The sequence below is a fragment of the Homo sapiens genome, chromosome 16, assembly GCF_000001405.40.
Source record: "Homo sapiens chromosome 16, GRCh38.p14 Primary Assembly".
NCBI classification, from domain to species: domain Eukaryota; kingdom Metazoa; phylum Chordata; class Mammalia; order Primates; family Hominidae; genus Homo; species Homo sapiens.
Genome location: NC_000016.10, coordinates 48,079,185 through 48,099,794, shown reverse-complemented (window position 1 = coordinate 48,099,794; position 20,610 = coordinate 48,079,185). Strand labels below are relative to the sequence as shown.

The window sequence follows — 20,610 nt, the reverse complement described above, 5'->3', positions numbered from 1 at the left end:
GCTCTTCTGTCCCAAGGCCCTGAGGTATTCTCTCGGATCTTCTGTGTTAGGCCGGAAGACAAGGCGAGAGGCCAGGAAGGAGGACCCAGGGGGATTTTATGGTCCAACCCTAGCGAAGTGTCCCAAGATTTCTGCACATTCCTTGGCCACATTGGAGTCACATGGGCTCACCTAACGCAAGGGAGGCTGGGAAATGTAGTCCAGCTGTGTCCAAAGGAGGAAAAGAAAATGGAGTTTGGTGAATCCATAGCAGCCTTTCCCACTTTCTGTCTTTTCCTTCCTTAAAATGCCAACACACCCTTCAGAGAGAAAGAATTAGATGCAGTTCTAAAGGGTGCATCGAATGCATTCTAAGTTTGGAATTGCATTAAATTTATTTATTTTTATTTTTATTTTTTGAGACAGAGTCTTGCTCTGTCACCCAGGCTGGAGTGCAATGGCATCATCTCGGCTCATTGCAACTTCTATCTCCTGGGTTCAAGCGATTCTCTTGCCTCAGCCTCCCAAGTAACTGGGGCCCAGCTAATTTTTGTATTTTTAGTAGAGACAGCATTTCACCATGTTGGCCAGGCTGGTCTCAAACTCCTGACCTCAAGTGATCCACCTGCCTTGGCCTCCAAGAGTGCGGGGATTATAGTGAGCCACTGCAACCAGCCTGGAATTGCATTAAATTTAGAATTGCCTCTAATTCTCTCTCTCACGCCCCCTCCATTTTACCACCCAGGATCTCAGAGTAGACTTGACATCACACCTTGTCTTTAGTTCAGTCAGCACCTAGTCCGGACCCTAGTTTGACCTGAACATCGTTTGTCAAGAGTCCTGCCTCACACATAGACACTTCCAAAGTCCTGGCCATGAGGAAAGCCCATGGAGCCATTAGTCTACTCACCCACAACAAACACACATGCAAACTTTGTCTTCCCACAGCTTCTACTCCAAGATTTCTGAGAGAATCCTATAGGGAGCCAAGAATGACTGATGGGGGTTCCCTTCTTTTAATAGTTTCTTTCCAAAGGGCTTGGGTTTCTGACGTGTATTGCATTTGCCACCAGACAAAAATGCTACAGCTTAAAAAATGTAAAAAGATTAGAGGTCAAATTCCAATTTGATCCCAGCTAGTGATTTTGTTTCTATGCAATCTAACCAACCACACGGATAAGACCACAGGTGACTTCCAGGTCATGGAGGCTGTCAGTTGAATTTGTATGCTGTATAGCTACATGATAGAAACAGCACTGTGTTTTGAAGAATATTTTGACTAAGCTCTGGGGAAAATAAGTTAGAGTTGAAACAGAGAGGAGGAGAGGGCAGCAGAGCCCAGGGCGGCTGGTCAGAGGGGCTTCCAGGCAGAACTCTGGGAGGCCTTCCAGGACAGCATGGAGCAGCAGTGCCTGAGGCCATTCACAGCTATGCCAGGGGAGGAATTGTACCTCCTTAGGGCTTTAAGCGTGGAAGGGTTTTCATTTTTCCCCCAGTAGTTTCTACCAGCTGTTCTCATGAAGCCCTTCCCCACTAGATCAGGGAAGCCACAGTGGCAATTGAATCTGATGTCTCTTTTGGTTAATGGTCAGCTCAGTGCGGTGAAAATTTCAATCTTGAATATATTCAAGCCACAGGTCTCTTTCCCCCAGAGGCTTGGTGTGGCAAGGCTATGCTGTGTGTGTGTGTGTGTGTGTGTGTGTGTGTGTGTGTGTGTGTGTGTGTCAGGTGGGGCAGGCTTGCAATTGAGAAGCACCTGCTCTGTGCTTTTAAACACCCTCTTCCTTTTCTCCAGGCCTGGCTCTCTGATGCCCATGTGGGGGAACTGGGGAGGGGACAGCAGGAAGAACACATCCTTGGGTGACTGGCACCTCTGGGCCATTCTCTCCTTTCTGCTATCCTTTCCTGCTGCTGCAATGCACTGTGCAGATGTGGGACAGCAGCTTGGAGGCCCCAGTAGGGCCAGAACCCCAGGAGTTCTGCCAGCATTGCTGCATCGGTAGGAGTTGCTGGGTCTTCCTGTGAGTTCTGCCTGGCAGCCCTCACACTGCACTCCTCTGATGTGGAGGCCCCTTTGCTTCATGCCAGGGACCGTCACATCAAGACTGCAGCCTCCAAGGTCATCTTCCTTCTGCTATCTCAGCCCTAGGAACTGTGGAGCTGATGGGATCCACCTTGCATACATCTGGGGAATGCGGAACTCCAGGGGGTGGGTCTTGCCCCCATCCCCTGGCTGTGTCATCTCCCTGTCACTCCGCTCTGTGCTTCTTCCCCCCTCTCCAAGCCCTTTGGCTCCGTGGACGTGCAGCAGGGATGCAAGGTGTCAGCTTCCTGTCCTTGAAGAAGCTCCCAGCTTTATAAGCAATTGTCTTCAATCTTCTTTCTCTGATTCAGGGAGGGAAACCTAACATGCACCCTCCCTTCCCTCCTCTACAGTCACAAACATTGATTTCCCTAAAGGTGACCTCCTCCACAACCCACCCCCACCCTTTCTATAGATCAAGGGGGCCAATTGTCAATTCCACAAAGCCTTTGAGGGTGACTGACTCCACGATAGGGATCCTTTGGAGTCAGAATGTGAAGCACTCGGCACCTCTTCTTCTCAGCTGTAGATTCTAGCTGCCAGTTCTGGGAAAGACAGAAAGAGCCACTTAGCACCCTACTCTATTGCCACATGAGATTTCCCAAAATATGTGCAAATCAAAGATGTCTAGAGTGGCAGATTTTTAAGAGCATGAATATATGTTCATTTTTGTAAGAGTTTGCTATGTGAGAGTGTGTTCCCTTGATTAAAAATTCCTTGGCCTCATTTCTCCAGTCACCCTAACCTTAAGTCTACAGCACAACCTGATCTCCTGCTTTTTCTGATTTTCTTGACTGTAGGTTTAAGACGCTAAACGACGAAAACTCCAGTCACCTCCTCTACTTTAACTGTGCTCTCAGGTGGTTTGCGCTGAGAATGGATGTCCTCATGAACATCCTTACCTTCACTGTGGCCTTGTTGGTGACCCTGAGTTTCTCCTCCATCAGTACTTCATCCAAAGGCCTGTCATTGTCATACATCATCCAGGTAATGCCTGGTGCAAAGTTGGGCTTAGTCTGGAGGCTCCGGCCTGTAATACATCAGCGAGGGTGCTTTTGGATGGACACAACAAAAACCCCAACTCGAATGGGTTTAAATGAGAAAGGGAGCTTAGTGGCTCACATCATTAAAAAGTAGGATGGTTGTGTGGACTTCAGGCACAGTGGGATCATGTCTCTGAGCTTTGCCCATGCCCTGTGATGACTTTCCTCATAGGTGACCAGCAGCCTCTGGGGTCTACAGCAAAGAGGAAGCAGAAAGAAAGCATTTCCTGGCCCAGCCACGGAGGCAGAAGCCTGGAGCTTTACTGTTATTGGAGGAAAGCATTTCCTGCCCCAGCCATGGAGGCAAAAGCCTGGAGCATTACTATTATTGGATTAATTTAGGCATCCCAAAACTAATTAGTGGTTTGATGGGATACGGATCATTGGTTAGGCTAGGGTTGGAGTTACACCCATTTCCAACTTTAAGTCACATAGCTACTCCACAGTGGAGGGAGTGAAATGAATGCTGGGGAGACAGTCATAATATTGATGACAAATAATTACTGACTTCTCTTCTTGGTTGCTTTTTTTTCTTTTGAATAACAATAATAGGTGAACATACGGCATTGATTGTGATTGGCTTCAGGCCCTGTCTTTTAACTAAATTAATTCATTTCCTCCCCACAACAACCCTCTAATACTGCTGTGGTCCCCATTTTGCAGATGAAGAAACTGAGCCACAGAAAGACTTGTCCCAAGATCATAACAGCTGTCACATGTGAGGGCCAGGATTTGAATGCAGGCCACCTGGTCCTCATGTTTGTTTGAATCTTGTTATCTTTGGAAACTTTTTTGACATAGTCCTTATTCTTAGTGCTCTGAAACTCTGGGATAATGTATCTGAATGTGGGTCTTTATTCATGTGTTCTGTTTGATGCTGTGAGTTCTTTAAGATTAAAGTCCAATTTCTCATCAGCTTGGAAACATTTCTCCTTTTTCTCCTTCATTTTGACAATGTCCTCTTTTTCTTTCTTTTTTTTTTTCTTACTGTATTCATGTCAGTTGAATATTGAATTTCTTGCATCAATTCTCTATGTTTCTTTTTCTTTTCTCTCAGTTTCCATGTTCTTGTCTTTTTATCTTGGGAATTTTTGTTAGCTTTGCCATTCAGCTATTCCTTGAATTTTAAATTTGGCAATCATATATTCACATATTTAATTTCCACAAGCTCTTATTCTCTGAGTTTTTAAAAGAATCATTTTTTACATGGATGCAGCATATTTTTGAATCTCTCTGAGGATATTAATATTAATTAGTGTGTTAGTTCTCACACTGCTGATAAAGACATACCTGAGACTGGGTCATTTTTAAAGAAAAAGGAGTTTAATGGACTCACAGTTCCACGTGGCTGGGGAGGCCTCATAATCATGGTGGAAGGTGAAAGGCACGTCTTACTTGGTGGCAGACAAGAGAGAATGAGAGCCAAGTGAAAGGGGAAACCCCTCATAAAATCATCAGCTCTCGTGAGACTTATTTACCACCATGAGAACAGTATGGGGGAAACTGCCCCCACGATTCAATTATCTCCCAACCCACTGGGTCCCTCCCAGAACACGTGGGAATTATGGGAGCTACAATTCAAGATGATTTGTGTGGGGACAAAGCCAAACCATATCAGTTAGAGTCTTTTTTTCCCCTCCTAAACTCTCCTCCCTTCTTTGACTTGCATCTATCTGTTTCTTCCAGAGGTAGTTTTTCTTTTTGTTTCTCTCGTTCTTGCTCTTTCATGCCATTGGTTTTGTCCATCTGTCTCCTGACCCATTAGTATTTAACTCCGGGGAACTGGGTTGGGTTTTCAGAGTTTCCTCTGCCTTTGTTTCACCTTGCTAGGTGTCTCCTGATGGGAAATTTTATGACTGCAGGTAGGTGGGTGGTGGGGCTTTTCCATAGGCTGGCTTCACTTCAGGAAAGCAGCCAGGGAGCTGGCTTTTAGGTACCCAAATGCAAGACTTAAAGGAGTTTTTATGCAGGGGACTATTCAGAGAGCCCAATTTATCCCTAGGCAGTTAATTCAATTTCTTTAGAGAAAATCATGTTTATGTGTGTGTGTCCATGTGCATGTGTGCTCCCATGCCTAGGGATAAAGGGTCCAACTAACTCTGGTTAGGAGAAAGAAGAGGGGAAGAGGAGTGAGTGAACCAGACAGGAGTGGTTGTCTATATACAGAGCCTATCAGCCAGCCTCTTTGTGGGCCCCCTTCTCACACCTGGAGCCTCTCTGGGTTCTGCTCTTTAAACTCTAGCATGCTCTGCTTCCATTTTATCAAAAGGCTTTCGTCCTCTTTCCATCTTGCAGAAATTTGTAGCTTATTCACTGCTATCTCTTCTCAATCCCCTTACTGTTAAAGGTCTATTCTTTATGGAAAATTTCTCTGATATAATTTAAATTGTATTTTGGGAAGAAAGGAAACAAAAATGTATTCTCTGTACTCTCTCTTAAGTGGGGAAAAATGAATTTTCCTTGGGTAACCAGTTTCCTGTATTGATAGATGTCTTCATTTGTTGTTGCCTAGTAAAATATCAAACAGATGATGTTGAACAGTTTCCCTTAATTGGTCCAAGTAAAACAGCTTTCCCCAACTAAGGTCATGCTTTTGGGCGATATTATCAGCTTTCCATGAGATTGTTTTCAAACATTCCTGTAAGGTTGTGCACAGCATTGAGATCTATGGGAACACTTGTTCTCCAGCTGGCTCTGTGGCTTCATTGAGCATTAGCCCCCTTTGGAGAACACAGAATCAAAATGACAGCACTCCACTTGAGATTAGAGAAGACTCCCCAGATGGATGAGAAATTGGCATGAAATCCCACAGAGCAGAAAGTGAATGCAAAGTGACATCATATCACATCACGTAGGAGAATAAGCACTTCCTGGGGCCAGCACTGTGCCTTTGTGGGCATCCTAAACCTGGGAGGGCTGCCGTGGCCTTGGGAGCTGATACTCTTGCATTTAGCAAAAGATGTATATGCCCTTCTCAAGGGCAGGGTTCATTCATTCATTTGCCAGATATCCCCTGAGCACCCACCATGAGCCAGGAACTGTGCTAGTGGCTGTGGAATCAGCAGTCAGCAGTCTGGACAAGTCCTGCCCTCATTCTAGTGGGCAGCTGGAATAAATGAGGGCCAAGTAAATAGATGAGAAGCTCAGAAGGTGTTTAAATGTTAGGAAGACAACGAGTGGAGGAATGTGGCTGTCGGAAGGGGAAGCAGCATTTCATACAACAGCCAGAGGAGGCCTCTGCTGGGAGGTGGCTTCCAAGCTGAGACCTGAAGGATAAAGAACCAGCCAAGGAAGACTGGAAGAAAGAGTGCCTCAGGGAAAGGCTCAGCGGTAGGCATGATCCTGGCATGTTTGAGGATCTGAGAAGCCCACATGGCTTGAGCAAGGTGGTATGAGGTGCCGGCAGAGTAGAATACATAGAGCTTTGTAAGCCAGGGGCGGGGTATTACCTGTATTCCAAGACTGGGTTTCTCAACCATGGCACTGTGGGCTTTGGGGCTGGATAATCCTTCTGGTGAGGGGCTGTTCTGTGCGTGGTAGGATGTTCAGCAGCCTCCCTGGCTCTGCTCATGAGACGCTGGTATTACGTCCCTCCCGCCAGGTTGTGACAACCCAATCTGTCTCTAGACATGGCCAAATGTCCTCTGTAGGGCAGGTTGAGAGCCATTGCTCTAAAGAAGTGGAAACTGCTGAACTGTATTAAGCAGGGAGGCCTGCTGAGGGGCTCTCAGAGGGTCTGCACCCATAGCGTTCTCCACGTCACGCGCCTGCTCGCACCCCCTGCCTCTTTGCTGCTAAGACCGCTTGCTTCTTACTAGAGCATTCTTATCCTGAGTTTGACTGGTGGACTTCTTATCATAAATGCCTCAGCTCGCACAGTCCTCTGGAAACCCCTATCTAAGGTAACTCTCCAGCCCCGGCCCCTCTCCCACATCAACCTGCTTTTGGGACATTCTTGTCACTCCCGCAGTGGCCTTGTGCACCATCCCTGCCAGTCCACTAGAATGGAAGCTGCTTGAGTGCAGGGATCTTGTCTATAACCTTCAACTCTGGAAACCGGCACCCCAACCAGTACCTGGCCCATGGCTACTGCTCAGTCAATGAAGTTCGCTAATGCATGAGATGGCCCTGCCTCTAGCCCACTTGGTGACAAATGCTGTGGCTGCCCCACCCTTCCAGGGCAGGCTGGAGGTTCCGGGCATTCTCACACCCAGAAGCAAGTGCAGCAATGACTGAGGGAGTTAGTGGCTCTGTAGCCCTGTGTACCCTGGCTTCCTTGCCCCAGCACGGGACAGTTCCGAGGTGTGCTCCATTCAGTGTCCCAGAGCTCCAAGACCAGCCGGACTCTCAGTTGCCCACAGCGGTAACATCTCACAGACACACCTGGTATGGGTGGCCTCTCTTCCCCTGCTCACTCCTCCATCCCCTCCTGGTACAATCTGGGTTCACCGCCTATGTTTGTTTGTGAAGGCTGCTGTGACAAATTACATGCTTGCAGGCTTCAAACAAGAGAAAGGTTTTCTTTCACTGTTGTGGAGTCAGATGCCCGCACTCAAGGTGTTGGCAGGGCCAGCTTCCCTCCGGAGGCTCGGGAGAATCTTTCTTCTCTCTTCCAGCTTCTGTGGCTGCTGGCCATCCCTGGCATCTCTTGTCTTGTAGCTGCATCACTCCAGTCTCTGCCTCTGCCTTCACGTCCCCTTCTCCTCGGTGACTTCTCCTCTGTCTCTTATAATGACACTTATCACTGGACTTAGGACCCACCCAGGTGATCCAGGATGATATCAAGATCCTTGCTAACACCTGCAAAGATCCTCTCTCCAAATGAGAGAGCATTCGCAGGTTCCAGGGATTAGGAAATGGACACATCTTTTAGGGGTAGGGACACCATTCAACCTGCCCTAATATACTTCTTGCAGTCAAATCTTGGGGTTGGCTTTTGGGAGATCCAGGCCTAAGGTGGGTGACCTTAGCAAGCCACATGCCCCAGTCTGAGCCTTGACTTTCTCATTACTATAACAAGAAGACAGGCTTGATGGTTTTCTGGTCTCATGGTGATGTGGTTTTCAGTTGTTTTTTGAGCAAGGGGCTAGGGGAGGGCTGCTCTGAGATGCAAGACCCTGCCAGGTGGCAGCAAGGGGCCGATAGCCAGCAGTTCTGCAGCTCCCAGGGAGAATTCCCACCACTCAAAGAGGCGTGTGATCAAGTGGTTCTGTGGGGAGATGATTCTCACCATCTGGAGTGCCAGGGAAAAATGTAATTACCATTTGTTTCTAAATACAAAGGAAGTGTTTAAAGGCAAAACACCCGAACAGGAATATCTTTACTTCTGGGCGCTTGGCTGGGAAGGCAGGCCTCCTGTTTGTGCTGTCTTGCGCTAGGCAGGGGAGGGATCATTCACTAGGACTGCCTCCTGAACGGGGAGCTGCAGAACCCGAAGGAGGAAGGGGCTCTAACTGCGGCTGCTCGCTCCTTTTCAACAGCTGAGCGGACTGCTCCAAGTGTGTGTGCGAACGGGAACAGAGACGCAAGCCAAATTCACCTCCGTGGAGCTGCTCAGGGAATACATTTCGGTAAGAAATTAGTGCATCAGAGAGGAGGGACAAGTTAATTTTGGCAGGACTTGGGCAAATACTGGATCTTTTTAGATGCGAAAGGGGTCTTTTTAAAAAACGGAAATCGGGCCGGGCGTGGTGGCTTACGCCTATAATCCCAGCACTTTGGGAGGCCGAGGCGGGCAGATCACCTGAGGTCAAGAGTTTGAGACCAGCCTGGCCAACATGGTGAAACCCTGTCTCCACTAAAAATACAAAAATTAGCCAGGCATGGTGGCGAGCGGTGGTAATCCCAGCTACTCGGGAGACTAGAGCCCAGGAGGCGGAGGTTTCAGTGAATCGAGATCGTGCCATTGCCCTCCAGCCAGGACAACAAGAGTAAAACTCCATCTCAAAAATCAAAAACAATAGCAACGACAAAAAACCCCAAATCGGACGAGTCATCCCTCTTCTTAAAACCTGTATTTACAATACATTCTGAAGTTCTTGTTGTTGAATGTGAGGTTCTTTTTAACAAGGTTTCCTTAAGGGCTGTTTTGATACACAGAAAAATACAATTCAGTGGCTTACTTTGGTTTCTAAAAATTAATATTTTGCCAGGCTCAGTGGCTCACACCTGTAATCTCAACACTTTTGGAGACCGAGGCAGGAGGAATGCTTGAAGCCAGGAGTTTGAGACCAGCCTGTGCAGCACAGTGAGACCCTGTCTCTACCAAAAAAAAAAAAAAAAAAAAAAGTTCAAATTTGCCACGTGTGGTGGCATGCACCTATAGTCCTAGCTACTGAGAAGGTTAAGGAGGTAGGGTCACTTGAGCCCAGGAGTTTGAGGCTGCAGTAAGCTGTGATGATGCCATTGCACTCCAGCCTGTGCAACAGAGCTAGACCCTGACTCTAAAATTTTTTTAAGTTAAAAATTATTATTTGATTGAAGTCATAAGTTGAAAAATAGAAGCTCAGTCTAACTCTTCTTTAAAAGCTTTTATATCCAACTTACAAATCTTGCTATTCTTTTAAAAGAAGTCTAGCCAATTCTAGCAATCACATTTAGGTGCCTTTGAAGAGTGTTTGGCTCCATTTACAAACTTAAAGATTTTAAAACATTTTAAACTGCATTTTAAAATTTAATACATTCAATTTCTTTTTAAGTACCTCAATGATCTGATTTAACAACAAACCTTCTTGAGTTTGTACAAATTTAATTAATTAAACTTATAAACATAGTAAGCTTTAAGTTTTCATGACAGTATCAATGCTATAAACAGTAAACTTTTAACTTAAAATCGTGTTTAAATCAATTATTCAATTATGCATTTTAAATTAGAGTCACAAGCCCAAGTTCTGTTAATATATTGTGAATACTTGAAACACCAAGTGTGCAGATTTCTTAAACTAAAAATATTACTGTTACAGTTTCATTTCTCTAAAATATTTTTATTCCTAATTCTAAATCTTCTAGGGGTTAAAAATACTCAGTCCTTAACAATACAGGTATTTTCTCAGCTAAATGAGGTTGCTTATTGACCAGAGATTTGGGCTGGTCCGCCATCCTGATGGGGCACACGGGATCCCTATTTCCAGCTGTTTACACAGAGGTGACTTAAGAGGAGGGGCTGCTCTTGTGATGAAGCCAAGCTGCTCTACTCCTTAATTAGACCTTGCATTTCTTGGACTCTTAGGAGACTTAAATGTTTTTTTTTTCATGTATGTCTAAAGACCTCTGAACTTGACATCCTGCATTCTTATCATCTTTCTTCTTCTAGTATAATGATGATTCTTGCAGATTTTGAAATTATATCTGGTTGAGTTCTGCAAACTCAAGGCTATGTCTGGCCTTGTCACACAGCTTCAGGGCTACACTTCTGACATTTTCCCAGGCCCACAGGCCCAGTATGAGCTTCCCCTTGTGTATTCCTCTAAGTCATCCATCCCTCTATTCGCTAAGCTCCAGCCACATGACTTTTCTTTCCGTCCCTCAAATTGCCCAAGCTCATTCTGGCCCCAGGGCCTTTGTGCTAGCTATTCCCCCAACCTGGAGGGCTCTGGACTTGATTCTCTTGTAGCTGACATCCTCCCAGCACTCCAGCCCTCAGGTCCAATGTCACATAGGTGCCTTCCTGAAACCTCAAGTACTTTTACTCTCCTACCCCCCTTTCCCAACACACAAATCACATTCTGTATCCTATTGCAATATTCTGTTTTATTGTCTTCATTTTTAATTTTTTTTCTTGTTTATTATCTGACATCCCCACTGGAATGTGAGTTTCTAGAATTAAGGGTCATTATTGGTTTATTTCACCACCATGAATAGCAGTACCTGAAACTGTGTGAATCAATGAATGAATTAGTTAAATAAGTGAAAAAACAAATGGCTAGTCACTGGTCATTGGTTATTCTCCTTTACAGACCTGTGTTCCTGAATGCACTCATCCCCTCAAAGTGGGGACCTGTCCCAAGGACTGGCCCAGCCGTGGGGAGATCACCTTCAGAGACTATCAGATGAGATACAGAGACAACACCCCCCTTGTTCTCGACAGCCTGAACTTGAACATACAAAGTGGGCAGACAGTCGGGATTGTTGGAAGAACAGGTTCCGGTGAGGACAAGCTCTGCTTTTGTTTCTTTTGGGTTGTTTTCTTTGGATTTCCACTGGATGTCCTAGTTAAGTCACACCAGAGAGTGATGTGTATGTGTGTCAGATTGGCTGTTATTTCCCTCAAATCTCTTTACTGTAAATTAGGATTTCAGGTTGAATGGGTGTGTAGAGATGGAAGCAAACACATCAGTTTTTGAATTAATTAAATGACAATCATCCTAGTGCAACAGGGCTCCAGAGATGAGTTGTGTGCTAAGGGCCCCTGCAAGGATGGGCAGGTTAACTGTGTCAGGGTAGCCCATCCCTCCACCCCCACCCTGGTGAGGACACTTTCTGTCTACACTGTCATCCTTACGGAGACATTTGCATTGCATTAAAAATCCCACTGATTAAATGCTTGGATATGATGGAAGCACAAACTGATGTTTGATTTGTTGTTCTTACTTTTATGGTTCCCAGGAAAGTCATCGTTAGGAATGGCTTTGTTTCGTCTGGTGGAGCCAGCCAGTGGCACAATCTTTATTGATGAGGTGGATATCTGCATTCTCAGCTTGGAAGACCTCAGAACCAAGCTGACTGTGATCCCACAGGATCCTGTCCTGTTTGTAGGTACAGTAAGGTAGCTGTTTTTAATCATTGTGCATTTCTATTTTTGGAGAGTGAAATCAGACTGACCAAGAACTTTGTGATGTCCCCAGGGCATGGCTGGCCTGGAGCTGTTCTGTCTGAGGGAAGCAGTATCCCAGGGGGGCTCACAAGCACTGCTGGTCCCTGTTTCTGCATCCAGCCTTGGGAGGAGCCAGGGCCCGGGGTCTGAGCATTACTTGTGTTTTATAAACACATTATTAATGAGCAAGATGCTTCTGTATTCATTCATACACTGAGCAGATATTCCAGTGGCTCTGGACAGCCCTAGTTTATGCCTGTGTCCCAGTATCCCATCAGGTTTAACAATGGCCACTCTGAAAAGTGTCCCAGTTTGCACAATAAAATAAATAGTTACCCCGTGTATACAGCTATCCATTGCAAAGTGCATTCATTTATTTCCACACCTAAGTGAACAGAAGCTATTTCAAGCACAAGAACAGTAGGGCTGCAGCTTCTGTGGGGCTCCAGATCTGATATCAAGGCACAAGGGGAAAGGCAGTTTCTCAGTTAGCTCTCTCTGTGATGAGAGGAACATTTCTCCCATACAGCACCAGATGAAGTAGGGTAACTGTATTTACTGTATTTAGAGTTCATTGTTTGAAAAATGCATTCTGCCTCTTGAAACAGTAGATTTACATTCTGCGTCTGAGCTGCTCAGCACCCTGTGAGGCCCTAGGAGCTGCCGATACATGGAGTGGCAGATTTGGGTTGCTCACTCTCCCTCTTTCTCTGCCAAGAATTTTTATCAGTTCAAACCCACTCTGCTACTCGGGGCTGCTGAGAGGCCCAGGTGTGTCTTTCTGAGCACCTTGCTCAGAGCTGCCTCTCGGCAGGGTTCCACCTGTCATTGCCTGCCTCAGTGGTCTCTGCTCCATTGCAGAGTTGTGGGCCCTTGGTCTCGTGGCCTGAGGTCCATATTTTGTGGACCACTGTCCTGTACTGAGCACTATTCTTGGAGCACGAGGTCATCACATGCCACCTCCTACCCTCCTCCACATGCTACAGAAAACCTGCTCCGCATCCATCCTCTCGTCCTTGGAAATCTGGCTCCCTGTCCTCTCCTCTCCTTCATTGCAGGTACAACTTGGATCCCTTTGAGAGTCACACCGATGAGATGCTCTGGCAGGTTCTGGAGAGAACATTCATGAGAGACACAGTAGGTCTCTGGGGCTGTTGAGGAGGAGTTTGTTTCCCAGCACCACTGCCCTAGATTCCTGGCCTATGTTTAAATTTGACAAGCACCTAGGCCAGCACTTAGCCAGGTTTATTTGTAGACACCACGTAAGTCAGTAGAACATAATCCTTAGTTATTCTTTCCTATTAAAAGCAACAATAGGGCTCTACAATGATCCAGTCAAGAGCACTACATGTATCATCTCACTTGGTCCTTACTACAATGCTCTGAGGTTGGTACTCTTACCCCTAATTTTAGAGATGAAGAAATTAAAGCTCAGGGAAGTAACATGCCCAGGCTAGTGAGTAGCAGGATGGAGACTTGAACTCAAGCCTGTCTGGCTGTAGAGCAGATGGAAGGCCCTGCTACTCTGCCAGTGGCCTCATTTGCTATCAGAACAGACAAGCCACAGAAAACAGAAGGGTGTGGAATGTTCTGGGAATGGCAAGTATGGCTGGTTGGAGAGGACCGAACCATCTGTGAGAGGGAACCCTGTCCTATAAGAGCTACAGCCCCAGCTGGGGTCAGCAGGTGAGCATGGACACCTCTGCAGCCCAACGTGATATTTTTCCAGGACTTGGTACCGACATGAGCATCTTCCAAGGCCACTTTGGCTTGTCACTCTGGATAAGTCAGACCCTGTCTTACCCTTCCTTAATGTCCAGAAAACTCTCCCATCCCATCTCTATTTGGTCCCTGGAAACAGCAATCCAGAAAGCTGTTTCCACTTGTTTGTTTGCTCTCTGGGACTGCATCTGCATCATTTGTTCTTTTGGTGAATTGTCTATGGGGTTCTATGAGTCATACTGTGATTTTAAATTATTAATGTCCGTCTACTCCCTGGTCTTTCCCTGGTGCCTGTTTGCAATATTGAAATGATTGTTGTTTTGCACTTTCTTTGCCACAGTAAAATAAAGCAAGCTGATGAATGCAAGAGAAGGGGGCAATCAATACAGACAGCATAGGACAATTTTATAGATCATCAGCACAAATGTGGCATTTTTTGTGTTTTGTAGATAATGAAACTCCCAGAAAAATTACAGGCAGAAGTCACAGAAAATGGAGAAAACTTCTCAGTAGGGGAACGTCAGCTGCTTTGTGTGGCCCGAGCTCTTCTCCGTAATTCAAAGGTAAGAAAACACGGAAAATGGATTGGTCAAATTTTGGATATTTCCCGCAGCGCCACTCAATCCAGGAGGCAGAGCCACGTGTATGTCTTTCAGCAAAGAGACAGCAATTGAGCCATTTAAAAACCGATCACTTTTTCTTAAGACAAAGTTGTGAGGGATAAAAATTGAAAAGTAACAGCCATTTACAGCAAGAGCACCTTCCCCTCCCAGGCTTCCCCTGGGGAGGTCTCGCTTAGATTTTCACTCTGCTTGCCTAAGTGGTTTGAGTTTGAAAAATCTGTCTCCCAACTTTCTCCCATTGTCTCTGAACAATTCTGAATCTGGATACACTGTCCCCAGGATGCTCAAGAGGGCCATCAGAATGCTAGGATATGGGAATTGTAGAATTTATACTTATTTTTCTTTGTAACTTAGCCACCCTTACTTACTGATTTCCAGGAAGGGATTGCTGTTGCTTTAGTAATGCCAGTCTCTGAAGCCTCATCAAAGATGTGACCCATTGTGTGTATTCTCTAGATGTGCTAATGTCAGGGGAGAGGGGCCGGCGTGGATCTGATGCCTGCCGTGGCACTGCATGCTGCTAAGTGGTTTAAGTGTAGTCTCCATATCCAGCTCATCAATAAGGCATAGCCCCCTTTCACCTACGAGGGAACAGAGCCTCGGGGAAGTTAAGTAACTTGGCCAGTCAAGCAGAGTCAGGGGTTAAGTTCAAGTGCTCTGATTTGCTAAATCAAATCCGTCCTGTGATCAGCGGAATAATACCCCCACCTCCCCAAAGATGTTAATGTCCTGATTTTTGGAACCTGCGAACATGTTCCTCCGAGACTTTTAATATATTAACTTACCTGGCAAAAGGGACTCTGCAGTTGCGATTAAGGATCTTGAGATGGGGAGATGATCCTAGATCTGGGTGTGCTGAGCATATTCATATGGGGCTTTCCAAGGAGGAGGCAGAAGAGTCAAAGAGAGAAGGAGCTGTGATGCCAGGAGGGGCTGTGGGCCAAGGAATGCAAGTGGCCCAGAAACTGGAGAGGGCAAGGAAACAGAAAGAATGCAGCCCTGACAATACCTTGATTTTAGGATTTCTGACTTCTGGAACTAGAAGATAATTTACACTGAGTCTCTAAGTTTGTGATTGTTTGGTATGGCAGCAATATAGGGAATGAATGTAGGAGCTGCTGTGCTTCATGCCGACTCAGTTTAGCACAGTAGATAAAGCCTGTGCAGCCTGTCTCCCTATGAGTTTGTAGGGTTAGAATAAACCACTTAAAAAGAGGAATAAAGGATATACAACCTTGTCCCTCTAGCAAGTTCCTTTGGAAAGATGGAGGTGATGTGATGTGACTTTTATTTCACTCTTGTTCTTCTCATTTTCTTTTTTGAGATGGATGTTTAGCTAATTACTTTTCATCTTGTGGTCTTATTTTTCTTCTTCTTCTTTTTTTTAAAGTAAATAGAGCCGAGGCTGTAAATTCCCCTCTCAGTGCGCCTTTGGCTTATAATGTTTCCTCCTCCACAGATCATTCTCCTTGATGAAGCCACCGCCTCTATGGACTCCAAGACTGACACCCTGGTTCAGAACACCATCAAAGATGCCTTCAAGGGCTGCACTGTGCTGACCATCGCCCACCGCCTCAACACAGTTCTCAACTGCGATCACGTCCTGGTTATGGAAAATGGGAAGGTATAGGAAGCTCTTTTGGCTTCACCTCCCCAGAAAGTCCAGTGGTTTGAGCTTTACAGTGGGTAGATATTTTCCGATGATTTCAGTTCTTCTTCTCTGACTTTCAGGTGATTGAGTTTGACAAGCCTGAAGTCCTTGCAGAGAAGCCAGATTCTGCATTTGCGATGTTACTAGCAGCAGAAGTCAGATTGTAGAGGTCCTGGCGGCTGATTCTAGAGGAGGAAGAGGCTCTGTGAGATGAATAGGAGGAGTCTTCAGGAGGAGGGGCTGTCCTCTCCGCAGGCAGCCCTGGTCTTCAGCCCCTCCCATCCACGGAGTGAGCTGGGGCTGAAGTTGTCCCCACTGCCATACTCAGTCCATGTCACCCCACTTGGTGGGCTTGGGGTTGGTTCTGGGTGGTGAACCGGGGCAGACCCAGCTAATGGATTAAAAAACTGCCCTTCACCTCCCAAATCCCCAAGGGTTCCTCATGTGTTTTCACCAAAACCACCCCAGTGCCTGAGATTGAAAATATTGTAACTTTCAGTTAGAAATCAGCCACAATAAACAACATGGGAAAATGCCTTAGGATGGAGTTTGCAAGGTTTCCTTGCCCATTATCAGAAGGAAAAAGAGCAGAATTTTCTTCTCGTTTAACCCCACTCACTTCCATCTTGACTGGGTGACAAGTGGTAATGACACAGATTTGTAGCGTGAAAGACTGAATACAGTGTTTGGCCAAAAATTTTTTTAAAAATCATATTATATGTTTCAATTGATCTGTTAGAATAACCAAGAAAACAAAATGCTGGAGTTTCTCTATAAATGACACTTTTATATCTTCTTTATTCGTCGTTAAAACGCGGTAGGAAATTACCCTGAAATGTCGCCTTGCAATTATTTCACTGAAGATATTCCAATTTCCATACTATTTCCTCCAATAGACCCTTGTTGCCTTCTCCCTTCACTCAGTAATGAACCTTCACAGTCGCTTACCAAACAAAAAGCTTTCTCTCCAACCTGGAGGCTGGTTCTGATGGAAGCAGTAAAGATGTATTCCCAGCAGCCCCAGGAGTGAGCGCTGCTAACTCATGGTGACATTTGGGAAAAAAATATTTATAGAAAATCCAGCAAGCTCTTGTGTAGTAGCCGCCAAGGGGCACGCTGGGAGTTCTGGCTGTTTTTCATTCATCAGGAATGAAGGCCCCATGAGGTTCCCTGGGCCTGCTTTCCAGGCCCCAGGCTGAGCTCTAAATGTAGCTCAGGGCAGTGTGGTCAGCAAAGCTTCCAGACCACAACCCCCCACCCCACTTCCCTTGTAAGTGTTGGTCACGTACTTGCTTCCCCAGACGTGGAGGAAGGAGTGCCTGGCACCTGGAAGCACTCGGGAAACACTTGTGGCAGCCATGAATGACAGCATCTAATGAACTCGCTGAAACACAGCTGTGGAGCCTGGCGGACACCCCTCCCAGGTGTGTGTGCATGTTAAGAGCTTAATCTGGATTTCTGGCCAAAAAGCCAACAGCCAGCAATTCAAGGGCTGGGCATGTGAGGTTAACCTCCAACCGATTATTCTCCAGCCCTCCTCCGGCCAGGCCTGGGCAGGGGTCTACCCAACCAGCGGGGAGGTGAGCACACCTGGCCTTAGGTAGAGCTTATAACCTGGCAACTGCATGAAAGCCCTGGCCCAGCAGCTTGGCAGCAATGGATCCTGCCCTCAGCAGAGGGTGCACTAAGACATGTGGCTGAGAAGGACGTGAGCCAGGGGGTTCCTTCTGTGGGCAGCTCCAGGCCAAGTGTGGATCTCTCTGTGAAGGGACACAGTGTATCTTTGCCTGATCTGAGCTTTCCCCCATGGTGCATGACCCTGACTGAAGGTCATTAAACCCACATCCACAGCGTTCTGAGCAGCTGCTCCCAGCTGAGTGTGGGCATCACCTTTATGGACATAAGATAACTTCCCCAATATGACAAGCAGACTGGGCAGTCTGTGCTGGCCATGGGAATCCATGACAGTTGTGCAATGTCAGGGAGGGATGCTTTACTTTCTACCAACTGGACACCAGCCAGATAATCAGTCTGTGATTTCAAGAGGTGGTGTTTTCATGAGGACAGAGGATAGACTACAATGATCCCTGCTGCTCCTTCAGATGCATTGAGAGATGAATCACCTCCTATGACTCCTTTTCTGCCCACACTCGCTTTGGTTTACTCTGGCAGAAGAAGAACACCGACATTGATCCTGATGTCTACTGAGACCTTGCAGTGTGCCAGGACTGTGACAAGCATTTTTTCCATGAATTATTTCACTGAATCCTCATCTCACCCCATGAGATGGGATTTGAGGCTCACTGAGGTTAGTAACTTATCTACAGATGCCCAGGAAGGAAGGGACAGAGATAGGGCTTGAACCCTAACCAGTCTGGCTCCACAGGCCCTGCTCCCAACCCCTTCACAACAAAGCCCCTCCAGTCCTTTCCCCTTGGCCTGTTGCAAGGACAGTGATGGTCATCAGTATCATCCCTGGGGGAGAGTGACTTCTGAGGGTTTGGCTGTTTGCATGTATAAGACACGAAACCATCTTAGCAAACCCCTCTCCCACCCCAACCCCTTGCTATCACTGCCATGTCAGCCAAGGGGAGACTATGTAGAATAATAGTAGCCATTTAGCCAAATTCCTCAAAGCACAGGCTTAGGTTATTAAATCCTGAACATATCCCTGTGGGGTAGGTGTCTGCTATGATCTGAACATTGTGTTCCCCCAAAATCCTCCTGTTGAAACATAATCCTCAGTGTGACAGTATAGAGGTAGGGCCTTTAGGAGGTGATTAATTAGGTCATGAGGGTGGAGACCTCATGAATAGGATTGGCTCTCTTATAAAAGAGACTTGGGGAAGCTTGTTCACCCCTTCCTCCATGTGAGGACACATAGAAGGCATCATCTGTGAGGAATGGGCCCTCACTCAACACCAAATCTGTTGGCACCTCGACCATGGATTTCCCAGCGTCCAGAACTGTGAGCAATAAATTTCTGTTGTTTATAAATTACTCAGTCTAAGATATTTTATTATATCAGCCTGAATAGACTAACACAGTACAAGTGTTATCCTTATATTACTGATGAGGAAACTGAGGCATCAAGAAAGTAACTTGACCAAGGTTAGCCACTGGTGAGATTTGAATCCAGGCAGGTTGACTCTAAAAAGTGTGCTCCTCCAGGAGTATGAGACCAGCCTGGGCAACAAAGTGAGACCTCGTCACTACAGAAATACATACAATAAAAATAAAACATGTGCTGTTAAATTCCATGCAACACTGCTAGAAATGCAATCCTCCTGGTGAGAAAGAGCAGTGCCTGTGTTGTAAAGCCTGAGTACTGGTCTGGGTAGACTCAGTTATGCTGCAGTAACAAAAGACCCCAGACCACACTGGCTTATTTCTTGCTTATGTGACACATCCATCACAGGTGAGCTGTGACTGTGCTTATCCTCTTCACTCTGTGACCCAGCGGAGCAGAGCAGTCTCTGCCAGGAACATCATGTTTTGTGGTAGAGGGCAGGCAGACATGGCAATCGGAAGTGATACATGCTACTTTCATCCACATTTCATGGGCAAAACAAATTGCCTGGCTGCTCCTGAGTTCAACAGTGTGGGTAGTGGTGGTGGTATATACCCTACTCCACAGGGAGGGCCACCATAAGGCACAAGGACCAAGCTTATTCCAGCAGGAGTTGTATAAGCTTCCTCTTTGGAGGGGCAGCAAATATTTTGAACAATACAACAACCTACTATAGCCTGGGTTGGGATCTTCATTCTGCCACTGAGTGGCTGTGTGATATGGGGAAAGTAGCTTGCCTTCTCTGAACCTCCATTCCATCTGTAAAATTTGGACAAAGTGCTAAGGTCTTTTTCATTCTTGACTTTCAATATAGGAGAAACAAAAAAGGAGATATGAAAACAGTTTCTATTGGAATTTGGGCATTCAGAGGGGATTAGAATGCCCTATAAATGTAATTAAATGTTTTTGTTGTTGTTGTTGCTGTTGTTTTGAGATGTCACCCAGGCTGGAATGCAATGGCGCAATCTCGGCTCACTGCAACCTCCACCTCCCAGGTTCAAGAGATTCTCCTGCCTCAGCCTCCTGAGTAGCTGGAATTACAGGTGTGCACCACCATGCCTGGCTAATTTTTGTATTTTTAGTGGAGACGGGGTTTTACCATGTTGGCCATGCTGGTCTTGAACTCTTGACCTCAAGTGATCCGCCCACCTCGGCCTCCCAAAGTGCTGGGATTACAGGCGTGAGCCACTGCGCCTGGCCTTGAAATTTTTATTCTCATTTATTTCAGTGCCCCAGCTTTGCTGTGCTCTGATATCATCTGCCTTTTGGGTGATCATATGCTCAATGTTATGAATTAGGACCTTTTGAATAGTAGATGCCAACAGAGAATGGAATAAGCCACTTACAAGCATGTGGTTATAAATTGGTAACAAATTGCCTGTGACTTGTTTCATCAACACTTGTATCCTGGAGCTAATTTTGAGGCTACCTGGTCTAGAAAAAGTGTGGACAAATTAGCCCATAGGCCAAATCCAGCCAGCCCACCTGTTTTTATAAATAAAATTTCATCAGAATGCAACCATGCTCATTTGTTAATTCATTACCTATGACAGCTTTCACATTCCAACAGCAGAGTGGAGTGATTGTGACCAAATGTATATCCTCAAAGCCCAAAATATTTACTATC

The 20,610-nt window shown here is 46.1% G+C and overlaps 1 protein-coding gene across 12 annotated transcripts in view; it reads left to right on the top strand.

Annotated features, from left to right (window-relative positions):
- The window catches only part of ABCC12 (ATP binding cassette subfamily C member 12), a 75,112-nt gene extending 56,199 nt beyond the window's left edge, over positions 1 to 18,913 (top strand). For 3 of the 12 annotated variants that reach the window (NR_171628.1, NR_171629.1, NR_171630.1), the window contains 7 exons: positions 2,863 to 3,049; positions 8,586 to 8,675; positions 11,061 to 11,250; positions 11,710 to 11,869; positions 14,089 to 14,202; positions 15,722 to 15,886; positions 15,994 to 18,913. Coding sequence is in view for 4 of the 12 variants with exons in the window: in NM_001393797.1 (NP_001380726.1) it covers positions 2,893 to 3,049; positions 8,586 to 8,675; positions 11,061 to 11,250; positions 11,710 to 11,869; positions 12,976 to 13,054; positions 14,089 to 14,202; positions 15,722 to 15,886; positions 15,994 to 16,080 (1,042 nt within the window). In the remaining 8 variants the exon portion in view is untranslated. Of the gene's footprint in view, positions 1 to 2,862; positions 3,050 to 8,573; positions 8,676 to 11,060; positions 11,251 to 11,709; positions 11,870 to 12,975; positions 13,055 to 14,088; positions 14,203 to 15,721; positions 15,887 to 15,993 lie in introns of those variants that run through there. The other 9 variants (NM_001393797.1, NM_033226.3, NR_171632.1 and 6 more) reach the window with 8 other exon arrangements.
- The last annotated feature ends 1,697 nt before the right edge of the window (positions 18,914 to 20,610 follow it).